We start from the raw sequence: 17,523 nt of genomic DNA on the forward strand, positions 1-17,523 counted from the left end.
TGTGGGAGATGGGCAACACTCAGCTTTGTGGCCTACAACTCTGGAATACACACTCAGCCTGTAAGGGGACTGGCTGGCTGCTGCCTTTCCCTGGCTTCAGACATCCAAGTACCTGTAGGCATGTGGGGAGCTTGCAAACAACAAGATGTAAAGCTTTGGTAGCAATGAAGATTGCTTGTTGGTTTTGCTGCTTCTTTGCTGATTTCAGAGAGAGGCATGGGCAGCTGAGAGGGCATGAGAAGCGAAGGGGTTCTGGCAGGAAGTTTGCTCAGGTTTTGCCCTCTTATTAAGAAACAGAGTACGTCAATTAACCTGGCCAACCTGATTAGAGAAAGTGCAAGCCACTGCTGAGGATCTTGTTTCTGGTGAAAATTGACCTCACCCAGGAACGGCCAGACATTTGGGTATTTGCAAAGCACTGCTGAACATTAAGGAACAGTTAAAATTAATCCTGTGTACTGCAGCTCCTGAGAAAGCCAGCCCACATGTCAATAAATCTAGATCTGTTTGAAGCTAACGTCACTAAATCTTCGTCTTGACTGTTTGCTGGTCGTGTCAAGAGCTGCCTGGGAAGATGAATTTGAGGGGAGGATGAAAAAGGAACTGTATTAAACTGCAGCTCTGATAAGTTTAGTTAAGAGGCAGGAGATGTGTCCTTGCCATGACATTCAGTGGCTGATATTTGTTTCCCTTTAAATAATATGCTGTACATCTGTGAGAATGATGGTTTGGGGCTGGTGACATTGCATCTCCACCAAGGTTACTGCCGTCTGGACAGGCAGTCTCTCTCCTTTCTTTCTCTATCCTGCACCCTGTCAATAAATATCCTCTTGTCTGAGCAAGTGAGATACAGATTTTTATTTTTTTTTTGAGACGGAGTCTCACTCTGTTGCCAGACTGGAGTGCAGTGGTGCAATCTCAGCTCACTGCAACCTCCGCCTCCTAGGTTCAAGCGATTCTCCTGCCTCAGCCTCCTGAGTAGCTGGGATTACAGGCACCCGCCACCACGCCTGGCTAATTTTTGTATTTTTAGTAGAGACAGGGTTTCACCATGTTAGCCAGGGTGGTCGCGATCTCTTGACCTTGTGATCTGCCCGCCTCGGCCTCCCAAAGTGCTGGGATTACAGGCATGAGCCACCGCACCCAGCCATGATACAGATTTTACAGCTAACACCAGAGCGTCTTCATTTCTAGAAGCAATGAGGTTCAACCCATGTAGACACAGTAGGGAAGGGTGAGGGGTTAGAGAGAAATTAAAGTGACTGGAGGAAGCTGTTTTGGTTGTGAAACTGTCAAAGGAACCCCAAAGCACCCAGTGGGAAGGTACTGACACTTTAAGAATTTATCCCTAAAAACCCCATTTTTACAAGCAAGATATATGAAATCTGGGGACTCAGGATTTAGGGTTCTGTTTTCTCCTGTGATTCCCCTTTCTAGGTGCTTTGGTCCTTGCTGTGATTTGCAGACCTATGATCTTTGGAAGCAGTCAGCAAACTTTCTCTGTAAAGGGCCAAATAGTAGCTATTTTTGGCTTTGGGTCCATATAGTCTCTGTTGCAACTATTCAAGTCTGCTGTAGTGTAAATGCAGTCACAGTCCATTGTAAATGAATGGGCATGTCTGTGTTATGGACACCAAAATTTGAATTTCATATAATTCCCCAGGTCACAAAATATTATTCCTCTTTTGATTTTTTTTAACCATTTAAAAATATAAAAACTATCCTTAGCTTGCAGGCTGTACAAATTAGATGGTGGGCTAGATTGGGCCCATGAGCTTTAGTTTGCTTACCTCTGGTCTATGATTTGCTCTGTCTTGTTATTTTCCTTTTGTCATTGTGAGGTGTTGGCTGTCGTCTTGGTAGGAGGATGAGGACACCCTAAAGATTAAGTTCATGGCCTATTCAACAAGGAGACAGAGTGGATGGGAATGAAGACAATGCTGGGCTCTGAGGCAGACAGTCCAGGTTCCCACACCAATCCCCCATTAACACTTCCTAGCTGTGTAACCTCAGGTTGGTCACTTAACCTCTCTGAGCTCCTGTTTCCTTTTTCTTTTTATGAAATGGGGGTAATTATATTTTCACTGTCTGTATTACATGACTATACTATAGCCCAAGTAGTCAAGAGATAGGAGAATGCCTAGTAAACGTTGTCATTATATGAATGTAAGGCTTTGGGATTATTTGCACTGCTTCACCAATGCAGACTCTTATTAACTCTGATTGTTACTAGTATTAAAGCATTATGTCTTTTGTATTTCAGCTACAAAAACAGAATCAGAATTTGAATGGTGTAAAGAAAAGATACTCTTGTTTTTTCACTTTCTTAGACTCTGATGTTGGCTGGGCATTCCTGAGCCTCTCCCGCTTGTTTAGCGATTTCTCCCAGTGTGTCCAGATGCTTGGTGTAACTGAAGGGATCACATGCAGTTTGTGCTGTCCCACTGCTCAGAAAGCCCCGCCCTCCTCTCTCTCTCCATCCTGGCTCACCTTCAAGGCCTGGCTGAAGTGCCGTCTCACCCAGGATTTCTCCACCAGGGTCCTTAACACATGCAGCTCCGTCCTGTGTGAATGGCTTGACCCCACCCCTGGCACACACCTTATAGAAAGGACATCCTGTCCTCCCAAAGATGTACAGGTTTTAAGAAAAAGGGTAAAGGCAAATAATGGAGGTCACAGGTAAGGCAAGCAGGATGTCTTCTGGCCAAGTTGAGTGCCCCTGAAATCACTGAATGTTGCCCAATGGGAGAAGGATTCAGATATGAAGGGATGGGGGTCTAGAGAACTTGTTTTCTGTGACAGTGTTCCATCTATGTCATCTGTTACACTTCTAGAACATTTTCACATCCACTAGCTCTTTGATCCTATAACAAGTCTTTGAGGCACAGGGAACATTTTAATCCCCATTTGACCCTGAGGAACAGAGGCCCAGAGAAGCTAATTTACCTGTCTTTGCATCATACAGATGGTTAATAATGAAGTTGAGACTGGAGCCTAGTTCTGGTTACCATGCTGCACCCCATGGCCAACCCCAGCCTGATACAGGCCCATATTGCTGCCATATGTGATATTCCGTCTTGAGGGTGAGGGCACATTTCTATATGGATATATCAAACTAGCTGTCTTTGAGTATGTTAGCTCGTCTTATCTTTCCATCCCAGAATGCATTTGTGGAGCAGGTTTTTGAGCAAGAGAGCCTGTTATCACGTATTTTCAGCTTCTTCTATTCCGGTCATACCTGCATTATGTAAATATGTATACACAGAGTGTTTGCTTATTTATTCGGTCTGTGGTGGGAAAACCAAGTGCATTACTGATTCCTGGGCTGTGCTTTTCAGCCTAAACACTTTCTGCAGCTCCTCATTGCTCACTTAATGAAGTGTGAACTCTTCAGGTTGGCTTTTAGGTTCTCCGTAATCTGGTTCCTGCCTGTCTTCCCCATCTCCCCTTCCATCTCAGGGGAAGCCATCTGCCTCTTCTTGATCCAGGCTCGCTTTTCTGTCCTGTCTCCTCTGTCATCTAGAACTTTGATCCACCACTCCTCTTTTTCATGTGTCTTCAACTCTCCCTCTCCAAAGATAATTTCCTGTGAATCTGTCATACTCTATGTGCTTTCTCTACTCTTAAACACATCCTTGATCCTAACTGTCCCTTACACTATTGTCCTCTCCCCTCTTGCTGCTTCGTTTATATGAACCAGCCTTTCTCACCTGGGGCTGTGGGTGATAACTAAGCTCTGATGTCCTAAGGAAGGGACAAACTGTCACCTGAAAGCCACATGTGGCCACCATCTTTTTTTGTAGGGCTTGTGGGCTAAGAATGGTTTATATATTTTTTGAAGGTTGAAAAAAAATAATTCTTGACATATGAAAAATAGATAAAATTCATATTTCAGTGTCCACAAATAAAGTTTTATTGGAACACAGCTGGGCCCATTCATTTTGGTATTGCCTGTGACTGCTTTGGCACTACAGAAGCAAAGTGTAGTAGTTGCTGCAGAGACCAGATGGCTCTTTGTAGAAAAAGGCATTGATTGTGTATAATGAATTGATTTCTCTGCATTTAGAAACATGTGTTATGTACGACATTTGGGAGAATTAAGAAGTGAGTCACAGGAATCACATTCTGTGATTCAGATGAGGAAACCCCATTGCAAAAGACTGACTCTCTCCCTTATTCCTTAGACCTTTGTTGTCCGGATTCTGGAACAAGCCCTTCTCTACTGGAATATGTCCTTTGGAGCTCTCCCATGACTTCTCAGTCACCGCATCTGGTGGGCGCTTCTAGGTCTTATCATTCCATCCTCTCTGCAGCACCTCCCACTGTTGACCAGCTTCTACTTCTGAAATTCTCTGTTCTGTCTGCTTAGACCTTGTGATCTCTCCTTGCTGTCTCATCCTTTGTCTACTCTCCCCATTCACTGTTTCTTTGTGTCTCATCTTTAGCAAACTCCCCCCTTTCTTGTAGAGTGCTTGTAGCAAAATTGTGATATTTACCCCTGTCTCCATGCCGATGATTTCCAGTTCACTGTCTCCCCAGCTCTGTCCCACTTTCCGGGGCATCATCTTCTCTTTGCTGCTCTTCTCGTGTTCACTTCTCTTTGGTCCCTCACACCCCTTTGTTCTCTGTTGTCATAAGATTTAGAATCTCAGTTATCTGTGATGTATCTCCTCAACTCCAAATAGTTTATCAGTTGCTTAATCTGTGAGGATATTTTCAGCATCCATTCCCATCTCCCTAGTCCGACCACTCCTTCAGCTCTTTCTTATCTTTCTCTTTCCCAGGCTAGCCAATGACCATTTCCCCTAGCTGTTCCCCTTCTTCCCTGCTGTGCAGTCAGGCTGCCACCTGACTCTAGCAGACACTTTAGGGGCCCCCATTACATCTCCTTGGCTCACCTCTGGTTTCAGTGACAGCTCCCATGCAGAGTTTCGCATGGGCTTAGTTTCCTGCTGATGGTGTCTCACAAGTTACTGCAAGAGTCTGTCTTCTTTCTGCCCCAGGACCTTCCCAGGAGCCAAATGAGCCTGTGCATAAGTTCAGTGTAGCCTGCAAGTGCAATTGAGCCAGTGCCTCCATCAGGGGTAACCTGCAACTGATGGGGGACTAAAGCTGATGGATTGCTGCCCAGCCTCTTACCTTTCATGCAGGCAGCTCTGGGAGGCCTCCGTATGCTTCTTGGGCCTACTGGAGGAGGAGTCATGCCCATTGCCAAGAGCAGCAACCTTGATAATGCACCCTGATGTTGGATTTTCCTCCTCCCCTCCCTTTCCTGCTCTCTTGGGTCATCTCCCAAATAAGCTTCCTGCCCCCGTGTCCTCTCAGGCTCCACTTTCAGTAGCATTCAAACCAAGACACAGACCAGTCTTCTAAAAGCTTCTGCCCAGACATCTTCAGTGGCTTCACAAGCTCCCCAATATCGGACTGATTGTGTTTTAAAATCCTAGGCTCCCTGGGTTTGTTTGATATCAGCTTATCTTACTAATTTTATCTTCCCCTACTCACCTTTACCCTTTGTTTTCATCAAACCAGGTTCCTTAAGGGCAGAGATTGTGTCTTATTCATCTTTGTTTCTCCATTTGCTCAATATCCAAGATCTGAGGAAACTGAAGGCAAATGTATATTTTTAGTGAGCAAATTAATGAATGAGTGAATTGAATGTATTCATCTTCACATGTGCATCCATTGAGGCATTCCTCCTCCTCATTGCTTAGTAGTGATCTTCACCTCCACTAACTTGACAAAGCACCCCATCTCTACCACTGTACGGTACTTTTAAATTTCTACTTTATGTTTTTTTACGTGTCTTAACTTCTAATATATAAATTCCTTGAGAGAAGCGATGTTGCTTTATTTTCTTTATATTTCCCCACAGATCTTATGGGTACATGGTTCCTTAATAAATGTTGGTTGAAAGACTGAGAGAACATCTCATTATGTTTCCAGACATTCTGGGGCCTTCTGATTCGTTCTATTCTCTCTCTCTCTCTTTTTTTTTTTAATTTTTGAGACGATGGAATCTCGCTCTGTAGCCCAGGCTGGAGTGCAGTGGTATGATCTTGGCTCACTGCAACCTCCATCTCCTGGGTTCAAGCGATTCTCCTGCCTCAGCCTCCCGCGTAGCTGGGACTACAGTTGTGTGCCACCATGCCTGGTTAATTTTTTTGTATTTTTAGTAGAGATGGGGTTTCACTATGTTGGCCAGGGTGGTCTCAAACTCCTGACCTCGTGATCCGCCTGCCTCAACCTCCCAAAGTGGTGGGATTACAGGTGTGAGCCACTGTGCCTGGCTGATTTGTTCTATTCTCTGTTCTCCAAACATGTTACATGTTTTCTCGTTCCCATGAATTGAAGCTATTTATTTCTCCTTTGCTTTTTATACATGCTTCTTACAGTATTTGCCTGTTTACCTATAAAAATTCTATTCTTCCTTCAAGTCCAAGCTTAAATGCCATCTTTTTCATAAAGCTTTTCCCAATCCACCCTGTTAAATCATCACCTCTTCTGCAACACACGCCTGTTATACATTTGTATTATTCTGCTTTATGTAGCATAATTTTATGTGGCTTGTCTTCTCTCCTTCTTAGAGACAATAAGTGTATTCAGGGCAAGGCTGGTTATGTCCTCATTGAATCCAGTACCTTGCTCAATGCCCTGCAATCAATAAATATCTGTTGGAATGAATTAATTTGAATAGGTTAAATAATATAATCATGCTTTTGCATGCACATCACCTTAACTGGTGCCCCTGACCTATTTTTGGTGCATGTCCTTGAGTTTCATTTTGGTAATGGAAGAAATATCAAGCAGAAGAAAAGATAAATACCCAGAGCTGGTCAACATGATCTACTGTGTTTGAACAGGAATATTGGAACATAACTTCTAAGAATGCCATTTCAATTATTTGTAAAATATTTAAATAGTATAATCCAATTTACATTCTATCATTTCTAACAGCTGTAAAATTTACTTTACACCAAAGTTAGCTCAATCACTTTAATTCAGTCTGGAAAAACAGTACAAATGAAAGCTTAATTTGTATTTAATCTCCTCTTTTGTTTCTACATTATTGCCTTCGAATCATTCCTTTTAGTGATTGAGATTTAAACCAGAGAGAGGAAAAAAGCTTGATGAAATATTTGAGAAGAATATAAGCCATAATGAAAAGTATGAAGTCAATGTTTTAAAATTCCAACTGGCTTTGTTCTTTGGGGTTTCAATTCATGGCAATGTTTTTGTGGTAAACCTGAGGTATGAGATATGTGGGTTACTTTGTCAGAATCACAGGGCTATAACTCTCAGGTATTTAAAACTAGGTGATTCATTTGGAGCAGGTTACATTTATACTCTGTATATGAAGATTGGCAGGGAATACAAAAGTGCATAATTATTATTTAGTGTGTTGATCATACTCGTATATTTCCAAATGGCTTTATGATCATTTTGGTTAGTTTTTCTCTCTAAGCTCTGGCAGTCTTCCAGCTAATGTCATCAGCGGGGAACAGCAGCAAGGAGAGGTGGCAGAATTGTGACTACCTATGGCTTTCCTGTCACTGTATAGTATCAGGTCTGATGTGGGGTTGGGTGGAGGAAGATTCCAGGTAAGGGTAGAATGGCCAAATGATGTGCTACTTCTTAGGATGAAACAGCCTTCTCTTATTTCTCTGTTTTCCAGGTGGTGGCATTTATAGAAGTGTTCCAGAGGCCCACACCTGTCCTTACCTGAGCCCTTCTTCTTCATCCCTATACTTACCACATCCCACCCTCACCCCCAGCAAACCTCTTTGAACTCAAGAGGTGGTAGATTGAAAGAGGCTTCAATGAAGGGTACATATGCCTTAGACTTAATTCTGATCAATAAATGTAAGTTAATTAAGTAAAAGTCGGGGGAAAGAAGGGGCTTCAAGCTCATTTATAGCCAAGAAGAGTTAGAGAAGACCATAGCATTTTACACTTTAGAAAGATGATTTCAGAAGAAGGGATATGATGTGATGGGCCAAGAGTCTAAAATGAAAAATAGCTAAAGAGGAATTTTCAACAGTGCCATCACATTCTCAGAAAAGAAGAAAAGGGCCAGGCATCTAGACACCTGTGTAACTACATGGGATAAAATTTTAAAATGGGGCAGAATTGTTACAGAAATACTGAGTTACACTTAATAAGCACATTTCTCTTTGTTATATCAGCTATTCTTTATAGCAGCTCTGTGATTTTGGTCCAACATGGAGTAGTGACCCTACTTCGTGAATGAGGAAACTGAGGCCCAAGGATTTTAGGGACTTGCCTAAAGTCACAGTGCTAATAAAAGGCAGAATTAAGTTTCAAGAGACCTAGGTATTATGGCTCCATAGTGTAGTGATGTTTCTACAATACTATGCTGTAAACTGTTGGCAACATTTTTAACAGGGCTGTCAGAAGATCAAAGCCACCCAGTGAGCTGAGGTTTATAAAATATATACATCTCCCAAATATATAATAGTATATACTAATGACAGAGGATAAGTCACAGAAGATGAGGTCCTCTGCTCCACTCACTGGAATGAATGGAAAGAAGCACAACAACTTAAGTTACATTTTGGCTTCCACCTTTTCTATCAATTCAGTTCAGTGAGCCTAAGGCCATCCAAGTGCCACATCTGTGTGTGCACATGCAGATAGGCAGGGAATATAATCATGAGCAATTATTCAGTCTCAGGGCCACATCGTCCTAGAAGCTCTTGCATGCCAATATCAATCACTTAGCCATCCACCAGCCCCTGGATAATGGTAACATGCACAGGGTAGCTGCCAGTATTCCCTTTACCATGGCCAGCAGCTTGTGTGTTCTAGAGAGAGATAGAAGAGTGGTGGTTACCCTAGCCAGGCAGTTAAGCATAATGCAGTGACAGGAGTTACTACCTCATCTCTGAACTGCTTCCTGCTAATTTTGGTGAGACTTTTCAAGGTATAGACTATACAGAAGTGAGACTGTTCCCTCTGGGAGCTGCTGGTTTAGTGAAGAAGACAGAAAACACATCAGCGGTAGAATCAGTGACTGAGGAGTTTGGAGAAGGATGAGAGGCTTCTTCCTTATGGGGAAAGATGACAAGGCCATTTGGCCATTTCTTTCCTTTTCTGTTTTTCTTTTTCTTTTTTTTTTGAGACGCAGATTCACTCTTGTTGCCCAGGATGGAGTGCAATGGCATGATCTTGGCTCACTGCAACCTCCGCCTCCCGGGTTCAAGCGATTCTCCTGCCTCAGCCTCCAAGTAGCTGGGATTACAGGCATGCGCCACCATGCCCAGCTAATTTTTTGCATTTAGTAGAGACGGGGTTTCACTATGTTGGTCAGGCTGGTCTCGAACTCCTGACCTCAGGTGATCCACCTGCCTCAGCCTTCCAAAGTGCTGGGATTACAGGCGTGAGCCACGGTGCCCAGCCAGCCATTTCTTTTTAAAGAAAGAGAAAGGTCTAATTGGATAGTAGTGATTGGACCATGGTGGTAAGATATGAGGCCTGATTGGAAAGCAGTGATTGGACTCTGTTGGGAAGACATGAGACCTGATTTGACAGCATTGATTGGACCCTGGTGGTAAAACATGAGGCCTGATTGGAGAGTAGTATTGGACCCTGGTGGTAGGATATGAGGCCTGATTGGAGAGCGGTGATTGGACCCTGGTGGCAAGACATGCGGACTGATTGGAGAGCAGTGATTGGATCCTGGTGGTAGGACATGAGGCCTGATTGTAGATCAGTGATTGGACCCTGGTGGGAGGATATGAGACCTGACTGGGGAACACTGATTGGACCCTGGTGGGAGGACATCAGGCCTGATTGGAGGGCAGTGATTGGACCTGGTAGCAGGACACATGGCATGAAGAGAAGCAGGTGCAGCTGAGGCTGCAGTCAGCCTGAAGAGTGTCCTGGGGAGCTGGCTAAGGAATTGGAATCCTTCTTGGGGAGGCAGTGAAAGTTGATTTGCTTATTTTAAGCAGGAAGTGATATGCTTAGATTTATATTTTAGAAATGTCACTTGAGGGAGTGATTTAGAACAATAGACTGGAAGGGAGAAAAGGCTGGAGAAGGGGACAGTAGTGGAAGCCAGTGTAGAAATTCAGAAGAGAGAGACAGAAAGAGAAGGAGAGAGGCCCTCGCGGGAGCTATCTTAAGGTAGATGCAGGCATAAGAAAAAAATCGAAAGAAAAATATCCCAATAACAAACACAAAACCCCGACAAACACACAGAGTACCTGGTAGACTTCTGCATAAGAGGTTACGGAGTCCCAGGTCCTAGTCTAGAACTTTCTATTCATGGGCCTGATATATAGCCCAGGGATCTGCATTTTGATAATCTCCCAGGGGCTTCTGGTGCAGGACGCTAGAGCTCTTGAAGTTCTCCCTTGGTTCTGACCTTCAGCAAAAGTAACTCCTCCCTTCATGTCCTTTTCTATGAGACTTTCCCAGGGGGCCTCATGACATAACAAGATTCAATAACTACGATTAAGTGCTTCCTTAGTGTTTGGCATTTTGTGAAGCACTTTAACACCAGCCCTTTTCATGAGTGCCTCCGTGCTTCTCAGACTTTAAAGTGCATCATCAGCTGTGCCCCACCCCCAGGATTTCTCATTCAGGAGGTCTGGGGCGGAGTGTGAAAATTTGCTTTTCTAACAAGTTCCTACAGAGCTGCTGCTGGCCCACCAGCCACATTTTAGAACCCCTGCTGTCCACCACTCATAGGAGGGGCAGGGATTGTTGTCTGTATATGGCTCAGGAAACCAGAGACTTGGCTAGGATAAGTAATTTTCCCAGAGTGGTAGAGTTGCAGCTAGAACCTGTCTGCCTGAATCTCCAGTTCATATTCTTCACCACAGTCTCAGCCTTTCATGATGCATGACCAGGATTGGTGGAACCCATTCTCTGCTGGGCTTACGTCCCCTTTCCTTAATGAGCTAAACTGACTTTGTTACTGCTTTCTTGAAGTCTTCCTGGAATCCTCTGCCATGAGTTGGCCTCGTCTGTGGGCAGTGGAGGTGTCTGCCTTCCAGCAGTGATTTAAGCATCCTCCAAAGCATCTTCCCGAACTGAAATACCAGAGCTGACATAGTCTCTCAATTCCCACCAATACAGTTACCCTTTTAGTTAAGGCTCTGTCTCCAGGTTGTTTCTTAGATTGCGTGTGAGCTCCTGGGTGGCATGGATCACACTGTATTTGTGTTTGTAGCTCCACACCTAATGCAGTGCTGGACTCATTCTAAACGGGCAGTAAATTGAGTAGAACATGAGTGAATGAAATATGTTACTTGTAGGGTATAATAGTTGGACCTATTAACCTAGTCTAACAGGCAAACTAGCTTAGAGGATAATAGGATGGGTACATTTTGAATACCTGGAGGTAGTTAGTATAAAAATGTGCCACCTTCCTTAGTAAAAGCAAAACTCAGAACCTTCCACAGATAGTGAGACTCTCTTGAAGGGGAGGGGCTGATGGGACTCCTGTCCCAATTTTCCTGTGATCATTGCTAATCGCATTGGTACCAGGGATAAGCTGTTTTCTCACTCTATCCTTAGCACAAATGAAGCAGACTGGAACCTTTCTCGGGGATGACACAGGGATGTCAAGATGAAATCGGAGGAGTTCCCTTATCCCCCTCACAGGGCATGCAACAGGGGTGTGGCTCGCTTCTTTGATGCCCTGCTGCTGAAACCCCTTGGGGAAGCATGCAGACGGGCAGGTCATGAAGAGTGTTTTTGGACTCCGACCCCACAGCAGGGTCTAGGGTTGAATGTTTACAGCTCTTGAAGCCCCAGTGGCGTATGTTACAGTGTATTCTTTCAGTTTTGCTGTCTGCAGGTGGCTTGTGTTAATCAGCTCAATTAGACCCTCTGGCTTATCCCAAGGACAGAGGGCTTTTTGCATCCCGTGTTCTTGCCCTAGGGTACTGGAAAAATCAGATTACATGTGGGATTGGAGGATTGGTGCAAGGTTTTATTGAGTGGTAGAAGTAGCTCTCGGTGAGGTGGATGGGTGCAAAGTTTTATTGAGTGGTAGAAGTAGCTCTCAGTGAGGTGGATGGGGAGCCAGAAGGGGGGCATGGAGTGGGAAGGTGGTCTTCCCCTGGGGTAGGGCCACCCAACAGCTGGACTCTCCTCAGACCGTCACTGACTGCCCCTGACTGAATTCTGCGTCATCCCGCCTCAAAGGCCTTGTGGTGTCTGCTGGTGTCTGTTGGTGTGCTCTTCTGCTCCTCTTGATGTCTAGCTGATTGTGTCTGTGCCTGCTAGGGTCTTGGGTTTTTATGAGCACAGGATTGGGGGCATGGTGGGCCAGAGTGGTCTTGGAAAATGCAACATTTGGGTGTAAAAACAGGAGTGCCTGTTCTCACTTAGATCCATGGGTACAAGCCCAAGGGTGAAACCCTCACCAGGGACCCCACCCTTCTCTACCCAGCACTTCCCTGCCCCCTCCTGTATCAAAGACGGTACCAGGAGTGTAGTCTGGCTGGCTTCCAGGGCCCCAGGTGTTCTCCTGCTGACTTGACCAGCCACCTCTCAGAGCTCTGGAGACTGTCATCTCTGTCTCAGGTCATCTGGGCCCTTGCTTAGTGGTTCCTGCTTCTATGCAGTGGGTGCGTTCCTTAATTCCCAGCTCCAGGAGCACCCTCCTAGATACTTGGCCCCTTCCAAACTCAGGCCAACGGAGACGTTTCTTTCACTTACCTAGGTCTGCTGTCTTGGACATTGCTTCTCATCCAGAGACACATCTGTTCCCCAGGTGACTCTGACAGACATAGCCTTACTCTTCAACCGATCTCACAATCCCCTGCCCACCATCACAATATCCTAATGCAGTAGCGGTGTCAGTCTTATAACTTGAGTGATGCAGGGTGGTGGCGGCGTGAGGAGTGGGCTGGCATTTTCTCACAAGGGGCAGCGAGGCCCAGAGTGTAAGGACCACAGGGGTGAAGCAGGAGAAGGATCGGACCTCCCGAACACTCAATTGGCTGCTGCAGAATTTTGCTTCCATTAGCCCTGCGTACCTTTGCCCTTAGAAACTCTCTCTTCCCACCACCAGGTTCCTACCACACAATTAGAGTAGACACTCTTTAATTTCCAACCGCCTTGAGCCCTGGAATCTGCATCAGCAGTCTGGCATTAGCCATGGTCATTTACCGCCTCAGATTCTAAATAACATGGTTTGTGCTGATGGAAAATGCCGGCCAGGTCCCTATAGATGTCACTGCTTGTTGTTGCGCTGATGTATACATGCCTATTTCTACTGGAATATAAGGTCTGGGGGAAGGGAAGAGACTGGGATGAGGCTGAGGGCAAGTGACCTCTCATCCTTTGTTGGTAGTTTTCACACCAGGATTTGGGGTTTGGGTTCCTTGGGGTCTTATGAAAAGCCATTGAGGTTGGGAATTTTGCAGGGAGGTGTTTTATTTACCTTTCCCCTGCTTGGTGATTCTCAGCTCTGAATGTACCTTTCTGTATCCACATACCTTGTGGATTTACTTTTTCCATTTCTTGGAATGATGCAAAATGCCTGGGTTATGACGAACATGGGACTGTATTTTCTATATTTCCTTTACTGAGTATCAGAAAGTTATTTGAACTCACAACTTGTTTGCCATTCATGCTTATAATTTCCTGGTATGATTAGCTTCTTCTACACATGTGATCCTTAAGAGGAAAATAAAATTTCCATGATGTTAGCAATATTCTCGTAGATTTATGCAGTAGGTATAATATTTAAGCTAATTTTATAATGTTTTAAAAAAATCATTGCTGTTTGTCGGCCTGATTCCTTTGTTTGCGTGTCATCAGTGTCCAATGAGTAGTATGTGTTTCTTCCAGTCATTGTTAAAACCCAATATATGGAAACAGTGTTTATACCAGCAGCTGTTACAAATCTGGGGCTATGGATTAATGTCAGTTTCTGAATGTAGAGTGCTTTAGTTAATTCCACCCAAGGACAGATGATATCATCTAGGAAGAAGGAATATATTAGAAACTGTCAGCCAGAAGGTAGTAAAAGGAGGTGATATGTTATAAGGAGTACTAAAAGGTCATTCAAAGAAGAGATATTGCTAATAACTCAATTAAAATTTTCACGCTAACATTTTACAAATTTCTGTGTAAGCCCTAAAACATTTTCAAAGCTAGCTAAATTCATACCATAGATTGGAAAAACAGGGGTCAAATAGGATTCACACAATTCCTTTGTGAGATGAACAAATTGGGATAATCTCCTTTTCCAGGAAGTTCTGGCAAGCTAATTCATTGAAACTCCCTTGATATCTAGGTGAGAGGGTGGGATTTTGTAAGTACACACTTTCACTGGGGATTTTCTGTTTTCTGTGTTACACTTTGGGGCAGGGCAACCCACTCATTTGGTCCTTGACTCTCAGGAAACCGGTATTTGCTAAGCTGGTGCATCACTGCAGTTATGCTCTGTATTTTGCTGCCTGGAAAACAAAAGGATCCATGTTCTTCCTGCAAGCCAAGAGGCAAAACAAAAAGTGGAGATAAAGGCCGTTAGTGGAGCCTGTACTTGGTGTAGGAGTACTTCCAGACTGTATGATGGGATAGGACCACCATGCTGCACAGTCGGGCAGCCAGGACAGGAAACGCAGGAACAGCAGGTTCATGAGAGGTCATCTGACCATCTGCCTACTCTCCTGTTTGGGAGGAATGATACTTTCTTGAAGATGTTCTTACCTGGAGTCCACCTGGCTTCTCTTAGTAGCTCTTTCTAGTGTTCAGTCACTGTTAAGGTTCATTCAGTTCTTCTCCTGTCCAGTGAATATAAGCAGATTTCTCTTCTTGCTAATTTTTCCCATAGTCATGGAGAGGAAGTGGTCAGTATGTATGGATACACATACATACATATTTAGCAATGGCTGTAGCTGCCTCCGGTGTGCTGGTGCTACAGATTTGATGGTAAGGAAAAGTAAAGGTGGCTGCTGCCCTCCTGGAGCTCACCATCTAGCAGAGGTGAAGGTCATTAATTATAAAATCACTCACATAAACAGATGTAAAGTCACAATAGGGATAATGAGGCAGGAGAATAAGATCTGGAGGCAGGGAACCTAACGCCGATTCACGCTGACTTCCTAGAACTGAATCAAAAGGAAAGCCCCAACTTTCCACACTAAGTAACAAAAGGACGAGAGGCTACTCCCTTTGCAAATCTCTCCCCCCCACTACCCCTACTTTTCTGCATGGCAGATGGAAAATTGAAAGTACCTCTGATTGATGGCTTTTTGCAACCAATCAGACGTTTGCATAGGAGTGTAACTTTGTAACTTCACTTTAGCCTCTGATTCGTTGCTTTCCACAACCAGTGAGACTGATTGCAGGCCACCACTTCATTTGCATGGGGTGAACACCAAGTGGCCAATGAGAAACCTCTAGGAGGAATTTGGACCCCCAAAAGATTCTGTAACCAGGGCCCTTGAGCCTCTGCTCATCCCACTCCTACCCTGTGGAGTGTACTTTCATTTTCAATAAATTTCTGCTTTTGTTTGCTTCATTCTTTCCTTACCTTGCTGCGCATTTTGTCCAATTCTTTGTCCAAACTTCCAAGAACCTAGACAACTTGCAGTCAAGACCCTCTCCTGGTAACAACAGGGGCTAAGGTTTCAGAAAAAGGATATGGTGTTGTGGTGGGACCTTGTTTGACCGATGGAGGTCTGGATTTTCCTGATGAAGTGTTGGCTCACCTGGGAGCTGAAGGGTGCAGAGTTAACTAGAGGAAAAGAGGAGAGGGAAGAGCATCACAGGCAGAGGGCACAGCAAGTGCAAAGCCTCTTGACTGGAGGGAGTTTGGTGATTATGAGGAGGAACCGAAAAGAGGCCTGAGTGGTTGTTGAAGGAAGACGGGCAAAACTGAACCTGGGGAGGCGAGCAGGGTCAGTTAATGGAAGGCCTCACAGGTGGTGGCCAGGAATCTTATTTTTTTTAAATGTGAAATAATTATGGAGGTTGTATTCACTGCAAGCCAAACTCAAACTTCTTCTTCTCACTGTAATATAATCATAGTTCCTTTCCTCTTCAATTCTGGGGACCTATATTGGAACTTTCAGCTGAGGATTTCAAACTGAATTTCTTTGTTTTTTGAAATTCCTTCTGCAAAGGTGTTTGGCATAGAAATGAGGACAGCAGCTATAGAGCACCTAAAATTTTCTACAGGTATCTCAAGATGGAGTGTCTTAAGAGTCAGAAATTGTGACATGCATGAAAAGATAAAGATATATGTCTTTTCTATGTAGCATGTACACAGGAGGCACTTAATAAATGCTTGCTGATGAATCAGAGGTGACATCCAGCTCTCAGGAATGCAAAACAATGTTTTCTGTTTTCCAGCTATCTGAACGTTGCTAACAGAGGGCCTGGGGAGGAGGGACGGGCACGACCGCATCTGCTCCTCTGTCCTGTGTGCGTGTTTGGCCACCTGATGCCAACTCCATGATGGCACATTTGTCTTATTAAGTGTAAGCCAATTCCTCTCCCCCTTCCAGGGCCCTCCTGATGGTGGCTGTGGAGGACAGGGATATGCTGTGAAAGCCCAGTTATTATGGTCTGTAAAGGGAGGTGGTGGCTGCTGGGGAATGATCAAATGAAGACAAATGCATTGTTAAGTTTTTATGGACCAAGGCCGCACTTTCATTAAGCGTAATTTACATAACATAACTGATGCTCAAGGCCAAACAGTCCTTGTGCCCCAGTGACAGTCCCTGACAACCCATGGACCGAGGCCTCATGCACAATCCCCCAGGTCAGGAAACCTCCTCCTTCTCCTTGCTAGCTCAGCACGCTGGTTGCTCCAGTGCTCTCATTTTGACCTCTCAAGCCAAATGCTGATGACATCAAAGCTACCCATTCTACTACCGATTAGCAGTAAAACCATCGGGCACTCTCTGGGCAGAGTTCAGGTGCTATGTTCCTTCCTCTTTTCCCACAGGAGTTGGCTTCCTGGTCTGAACCCTCCATAAGCCCTGGCTGGGAATTTTCCTCACTGTGACCTTGTGAGCAGTCCCTGGTTACCCTCAAGGATTGTGCCAAGCAGGCTCTGGGTTAACATCTTGGAGAGTACAGAGTAGGCTGATAATCAGCCTATGCTCAACAGCACACCCAAGAGTTGAAGATTTCTGATGGCATCCCTGGGGTGCTCAGCAGTGGCCTTTGTCTGCACCCATCTTCATTACATGTTAATACCACCAGAGACACTTTGAGGTCAGCCTTTTCACCTTGCACGGCAAAGCAATTATCATTTCCTTTCATTGCAGGGGTGGGCGTTGGTTATCACATGATGGATTTTTGCTGGTAATCAGAACTTTCTGCCCATTGGTCTTCAAGACATACTTTTGTGTTGACATTTACAAGGTATGTGTCAGGCAGAGCCGAGGTACTGAGTGAGGGAATGAAAGGAGGAGGGGGGAGAGGATCATTATATTCAATTTAATGACGACAATTTCCCTACATTTACAACTTCCAGAAGTAAGAGACAATAGATGTGTGTCTTCTGCTTGCATGTACAATGAA

The 17,523-nt window shown here is 44.6% G+C and overlaps 1 protein-coding gene and 1 long non-coding RNA gene across 4 annotated transcripts in view; one reads left to right on the forward strand and one right to left on the reverse strand.

The window, feature by feature from the left end:
• Positions 1 to 17,523, forward strand: part of LRMDA (leucine rich melanocyte differentiation associated) — a 1,128,545-nt gene that overhangs the window by 434,688 nt on the left and 676,334 nt on the right. The window contains exons 2-3 of one of the 3 annotated variants that reach the window (NR_131178.2): positions 16,345 to 16,472; positions 16,943 to 17,214. The exons of the other annotated variants lie outside the window; for them this stretch is intronic. The gene's annotated coding sequence lies outside the window, so the exon portion shown is untranslated. The remainder of the gene's footprint in view (positions 1 to 16,344; positions 16,473 to 16,942; positions 17,215 to 17,523) is intronic. 3 annotated transcript variants of the gene reach the window in all.
• On the reverse strand, positions 1,812 to 12,743 carry LOC124902463 (uncharacterized). Its single transcript, XR_007062204.1, has 3 exons — positions 12,697 to 12,743; positions 5,506 to 5,606; positions 1,812 to 1,898 (listed from the first exon to the last, which is right to left on the reverse strand). It is a non-coding gene; the product is annotated as an uncharacterized LOC124902463 (long non-coding RNA).

Source organism: Homo sapiens, chromosome 10 (assembly GCF_000001405.40).
Source record: "Homo sapiens chromosome 10, GRCh38.p14 Primary Assembly".
Taxonomy (NCBI): domain Eukaryota; kingdom Metazoa; phylum Chordata; class Mammalia; order Primates; family Hominidae; genus Homo; species Homo sapiens.